This window comes from Homo sapiens, chromosome 4 (assembly GCF_000001405.40).
Source record: "Homo sapiens chromosome 4, GRCh38.p14 Primary Assembly".
Lineage (NCBI taxonomy): Eukaryota > Metazoa > Chordata > Mammalia > Primates > Hominidae > Homo > Homo sapiens.
The window spans coordinates 107,031,489-107,038,182 of record NC_000004.12 but is presented as its reverse complement, the minus strand read 5'-3'; the positions used below and the strand labels follow the sequence as shown (position 1 = coordinate 107,038,182).

Genomic DNA, 6,694 nt, shown 5'->3' with positions numbered 1-6,694 from the left:
CATATGACAAATCTCTAGAGTTTATTCATCTTAGTTAACTGAAACTTTATGATCATTGATATAGTAACTCCCCATTCTCCTCTCCTTCCAATTCCTGGTAACCATCATTCCAACCTTTGATTCTATGCATTTAACTATTTTAGGTACCTCCTATAAGTGGATTTGTCTTTCTGTGATTGGTCGAGTTCACTTAGTATGATGTCCTTCAGGGGTCACCCATATTGTTATTCCTGGCATATTTTTAAAAAGTGGAAAAAAAACCCCACACACTAAAATGTGAAAAATCTCTACCTTAAAGAAAGGAAATTCAAAAGATAAGAACACATGCCAGAGGGTGCATATTTTAATCCCCGTTTCCTTGTGTATTAAAAAAAAAATCTGAAAATGAAGAATTTCAGGGCAGACAGACTCATAGGTCAGGACTGAGAAATTTGCAAAACTGGAGCTGTCTGGGAGAAAATAGCTCTAAATCCACACTTTAGAACTCTGCGTTGTTTTGGGGGAAAATAAGAGTCACCAACGTTCTCACTTAGCGACAAGTTTAATTCGTACTCATGGACATGCGCCAGGATCAGGTGTGAAAGCTGTGAAATCTAGGTCCAAAAATTCTGAAGAGGATGCTGCTTGTATCCTCCCCTGGCGGCTAGCTGCCTTCTAACTTCAAGTTGTGGCTCAATGCTTGGATTTCTCTGCTCCTGGACATTAGTGTCTGCGAAGCAGAAATGCAATAACTTTCGAACAATCCCTTGCTTTGCTTGGAAAGTCTCGCACTTGGCCACCAGACATCACCGAACTCAGCGCTTGTCTCCTGCAGCAATTCCGTGGCTCGCTGAACGGCTGCCACTGGCGCCCCCAAGCGCCAGCGCGTCCCAGTCGTTCCCGGAGCAGCCTTCGACCTTCGGCCGAAGGGAATTGGACCTGGAGAGACCCGGGGGCTGACAGGAATGGCTTCTCTTGTAATTCACTGGGGCTAGAAGGCAGGAAGCCAAGGAAGACAGGATCTCAAAGGCTCCCTGCCCCCGTTCATTCCTATCTGGGATTTCCTATTCGCAAAAAGAGCAGTTGCCTGGCATGGTAAAGATGCTCATTCGAGCTGTGAGGTCCAAACCCTTGGAGCGTACCCAGAGCATCCCCTTCTTCCCAGTCCCTCAGAGACATAGACATATTCTACGAGTGCGGCGGGGCCCGGGGTTCCGAAGGAGGAGACTAAAAAGACCCAAATCGAACAGGCTCATCTTTTCCCCTCTTTGGTCTGCCCCTTTCCTTCCAGACCCTCTATCCGGATCATTGGCCACCCCCTGGCGCACCTATGTGGCTCCAGCTTCACACACTCCCTGGGAGGCACAGTCTAAAACCAAACGTGAGCTCACAAAGAACACAATACTAATGAGCAGATGCGCAGATGCTCACTTCTCTAAAGCTTCCATAGGGCTTTTCCAGCTCTCCTCGCGGAGTCAGGGGCTGAAGATGGGTGGGAAGATCTAAGAAAGGGTGGCAGCGATCAAGTGGTGTCAGCTTGCCCCACTCCGTTTCCACCTTTGGTCTCTGCCAGTTTCCAAAGACCCCTCCAACCGCTGGAGTTGTTGTCAGGAATTAGGAGCCCCTATGTTCCATTCACCTCATGGAAAAGCTAGATCCCCCTTTTCCAGTAGTTGTGGGTGGAGACAGAGCGGGAGGATGAGGAGGAGGAAAAGCTGGAGTGAAAGCCGCAGAAGCAGAAGCAGCACGCAGAGAGGAGGGGGGCGGAAGCGGTGGGGAGTGAGAGAAAAATTTTCACTCTTTGTCACTCTTGAATTGGGGGCGGAGGTAAAAAAAAAAAAAAAGTCCTCACTGTGGGAAGCTATAAAAAGCAAAGAGGACTGGGGAGAGAGCAGAGAGAGAGAAAGCGGGAGCCCGCGGCGAGCGTAGCGCAAGTCCGCTCCCTAGGCATCGCTGCGCTGGCAGCGATTCGCTGTCTCTTGTGAGTCAGGGGACAACGCTTCGGGGCAACTGTGAGTGCGCGTGTGGGGGACCTCGATTCTCTTCAGATCTCGAGGATTCGGTCCGGGGACGTCTCCTGATCCCCTACTAAAGCGCCTGCTAACTTTGAAAAGGAGCACTGTGTCCTGCAAAGTTTGACACATAAAGGATAGGAAAAGAGAGGAGAGAAAAGCAACTGAGTTGAAGGAGAAGGAGCTGATGCGGGCCTCCTGATCAATTAAGAGGAGAGTTAAACCGCCGAGATCCCGGCGGGACCAAGGAGGTGCGGGGCAAGAAGGAACGGAAGCGGTGCGATCCACAGGGCTGGGTTTTCTTGCACCTTGGGTCACGCCTCCTTGGCGAGAAAGCGCCTCGCATTTGATTGCTTCCAGTTATTGCAGAACTTCCTGTCCTGGTGGAGAAGCGGGTCTCGCTTGGGTTCCGCTAATTTCTGTCCTGAGGCGTGAGACTGAGTTCATAGGGTCCTGGGTCCCCGAACCAGGAAGGGTTGAGGGAACACAATCTGCAAGCCCCCGCGACCCAAGTGAGGGGCCCCGTGTTGGGGTCCTCCCTCCCTTTGCATTCCCACCCCTCCGGGCTTTGCGTCTTCCTGGGGACCCCCTCGCCGGGAGATGGCCGCGTTGATGCGGAGCAAGGATTCGTCCTGCTGCCTGCTCCTACTGGCCGCGGTGCTGATGGTGGAGAGCTCACAGATCGGCAGTTCGCGGGCCAAACTCAACTCCATCAAGTCCTCTCTGGGCGGGGAGACGCCTGGTCAGGCCGCCAATCGATCTGCGGGCATGTACCAAGGACTGGCATTCGGCGGCAGTAAGAAGGGCAAAAACCTGGGGCAGGTAGGAAAACCCCCAAACACATTCTTCAGACAGAAGAGGCAGGGGCCAGCTCTCTTGGGCTAGCGGTTTGCCATTGCATCTTGCAACATTCGGAGCGTGGCCCCAGATACAGAGAACAGGCGGCTGGGGAGGGATTCACCGAACAGGGTCTGCGTGGGCGGGGGGTGTCTGGGTGGCTGCTGGTCCTGCACTGCACGGAGTCAAAGGGTTAGGATTCTGTCTCGCCTTTGCTCTGGGGCGTGGGCACATATCAAGATCTAGTGCTTTCCTGTGGAGAAAGTGGTCAGGATGGTCCTTCCATTTAACACTGTGATGCAACTGATGAAGATGTTAATAGCATTTAACCTATAGCACCTAATAACGTGCCAGGCACAGTTCTAAGCGTTTTACATATTCACTCATTTAATCTTCACAACTCTGTGAGCTAGATGCTGTTGCTTTCCCATTCTGCTAATGAAGTAATTGAGGCACGGATTGATTAACGATTTGCCCAAGGCACACAGCTAGTATAAGTGGCAGAGAGGGATTTCAGTCTAGACATTGAGATACTGGGCGTTTAACCATTATATTTTACAATCTGGAGGGGACATTACTCCTTTTCAGGGTCTCCTTCCCTTCCAACCACTTACTCTCTTCAAAGAAGTAAGGTCACAGACAAAACAACTCCAGTAGACGCGCATTTCTCACTCACGCAGAATTGTACATAAATCACCCGGAAGGAAGCAAAATGATGAGATGACAATGACAGCGTCGTAGGCGCCAGCGATACAGCAGGACACTGAAGGCGTTTTTGAGAGAGGGAACTTTCCGCAGGCGCCTCTGTCTCTGTCATACAGACAGATAGATTGAAAGCCACTTGCAAACTGTTATACAAATAGACACGCACAGAGACGAGCGCGCACACTCGGTACCAGTTGTGGCTGGCGCGCTGTGGCCAGGAGAGGGGGCTCTGTGGGCACTGGGAATCATGACAGCTCCCCCTTCCGCTCCTTTTGTGGGAAGCCAAAACTGAGAAAGCCATTTTACCAATGGCACACGCACCTCGCACAACACAAGTGTCAACCCCTGGCAGCGGCCCACGCCCCAGAGATCCGAGTTTCCTTGGAACCGACTGATGCTGCTGTTTTGCGCGCTCTCGGTGTCCTCCGCCGCCCCTGTCCACAGCGCAGCCAGCCGGCTGAAGGTTGGTTGAGAGGGCCGAGCCATTCTGGGATGGACAGAGAGACAAGACCCGGGCTTGGCCCCCTACTGCCCTCTCACGGGGACAATTTTGCAGTTTTGCTAGTTTTGCAGTTCCAGAACTCTTCCCAGAGCTTTGAAGTGTGAACCGTTTCAGCTATCCTTTCAAGGGATTACAAAATCAGCAATCAGATTTTTTTTAAGGTCTCAGGAAAAATAAGAAAGTACATATACGTTCAGGCAAACATAACCGTTGCACATCCTCACACACGTGCACATGCCTACGCGCTTATGTGACCACTTTCCTTCGCTTTTTCTCTCCTGCGAGTCACCCCAGGATTTTCAATAGCAATGGTCCTAACAGTTTCTTAGAAGTCTGTCATGAAATGGAACAGGGATTAGAAAGAATGGGTGCTCTCAATCCAAATCATGACTCCTCTAATGCTACTGACTTCAAATTTCATGTTCCCAGTTGAAGAAAGCTTAATGTGTAGTTCCCCCAAGGACACAGGGAAGGAAACCTCAATAGTCCTGAGGTTCCTTTCCATTCTAATCTATGTATTTTCTGGGAATTTTTGTAAAGCGCTTTTTGTTTCTGTTCCACTATTGGGCCAACATACCTGATGTTCCTCTGTCAGAAAATCAGTTACATGCGTCGTTTCATTAGCCTTAGCGTTACACAGGGGAGACTGAGGGATGCATCCCAGAACCTAGCTTCTTCTTTATGTTTTAATACTGTATCTGTATATAAATCGGTATAAAATATGTTTTTGTGGTGCTACCTCTCCAAATAGCTACTTAATTATGCTTCTTAAAGAGTTTGGAAGTCTACTTACATCGCCTTAAATTGAGAATTTATTTATTTATTTCACAAATGAGTTGAATTTCTTATATGCCTTTCATAACATAGCAGTTCTATGGAATATATTTTATTATATTTACTTAACTGGAATCCTAGATTGTTAAAATTTGACATTAGGCTTGTGAAAAAAATTGTTAACATATTCAAGATGAAGGTAAAACAAAATAAAATACTGGGTTGAATAGCAGGAGGCTAGCTGGCAAATGTGAAAATTTTATTTTGTGTATTCTTCTTTAACGAATGATCTAAAGTATGTACTGTTATGAAGAAACAAATAGTAAAATATTTTCTCTTTGAAGTGAAAAGAATAATTCTTTGGATACTTATGAGTCTCTTTATCTTTTTTATTCTATAGTTATGTGGTCACCAACATTCTTAGTATTATTATTTTCAGAAATGAAATGGAAATTAGAAAGGCTATTACAGGGAAGATGTTATTTCCTTTTGTAGAGAAAAACTCTAGAATAGAAAGGTAGCTGAGCTGAATTTTTATGCATCACAATAGTAAATATGATTGAAAATATTGGAATTAATGTGTCAACTAATCAAATTAGCTAATCATGTAGTATCATCCTAAGACCTAATAAGTTTTATTTCCCCCAATTCCCTTTATACTTGACAGATGATGTTGAAATATATTCCTTTCAGGGATACAGGAGGAAGAAGCTCTAGGATGCAGCTTCAAGTAGGCAGATTGGAAACTCAGTCCTTGGTGTTCTTTCTCTTAAATGGATGTTGAAAATAGCCTATTTTAATTTTTCAGGATAGAGAATTAAATATTGCCACTGCAGAAGAAATTCTTGAATAAATTTAGTAATTCGTTAATCTACAAAAGTGAAAATGAGACTATATGAGCTCTATAGTTTTATTGAAAGTTGCCTGATTTCATATAAAGATAAACATTCTTATTTACAGGAATTCTACTTGTTCCATAGGCAAGGTGGATTATTTGTAATATCACTTCTAGAAAATGTGGCTTTGAATTTTAGAAAAAATTTAGAGAGAGAAAATCCACTGTTCTCCAGAGGTGTTACATTTCTCAATTTAAGGTTGGCTTTCAAAAACACAGTATGAGTTATAATGGAAACTGACATAGGAAATTGAGAGTGATAGTATTCAGATGATTGATACAGAATTAGCAAAAAATGAACTGCTGAATTATTCGCATCAATGTTTTAATTTGCCTTTTCATTTGCAGCTATTGCTAATAAGTACTGCATGTATGTGCTGTATATGTATACAGGCTAAATTAAGTTTCAGACTGTTACTAGTATATTTACATAATATATAAATATTTATGCATTTTAATATATATGTCAATTTCTAAGGATACTGTTTCAGATGTTCTAAATTAAAAGTAATTTCAAACAAAATCTTCAATATCATGTGAATAAATATATTTTGATGAAGTATGCCATTTCTCGATACTATCTCTAAAGTTTGAGGTGTTGACTTTTATGGACCACCTTCAAAACAAATTTTAAAAACCCAAACTACTAAAAAAATCAAGCTTTGCAATTCACATATTTTTCTGTGTGAATGAAAAACCTTTGGATTTGTGTTTGTAATTGCTTATTTTATTCTTCTCGTTTTGTCTTTCTGAGACGGGCAGATGAATTTAATTTGAATGCAATGCAGTAGCATTTTGCAATTCTTTTAAAAGTGACTAGAATAGTGATATTTATAGTTATATTTTAAATGTAGATAAACTTTCTGGCATGTGTTTCTAAAAAGAAGCTATGGTTTAACACAAATTCAGATTCTATGATTTTCTGATATGACTGGGACACTTCAAGGATAGTGGTTTGGATGAAGTTATGTTGTGAGAAAAGAATTCTTG

The 6,694-nt window shown here is 44.2% G+C and overlaps 1 protein-coding gene across 1 annotated transcript in view; it reads left to right on the top strand.

Moving 5' to 3' along the window:
* The first annotated feature begins 1,869 nt into the window (after positions 1–1,869).
* Positions 1,870–6,694, top strand: part of DKK2 (dickkopf Wnt signaling pathway inhibitor 2) — a 114,512-nt gene continuing 109,687 nt past the window's right edge. Inside the window, exon 1 of the mRNA NM_014421.3 lies at positions 1,870–2,813. Coding sequence (NP_055236.1) covers positions 2,592–2,813 — 222 coding nt within the window. The 5' untranslated portion in view covers positions 1,870–2,591. The remainder of the gene's footprint in view (positions 2,814–6,694) is intronic.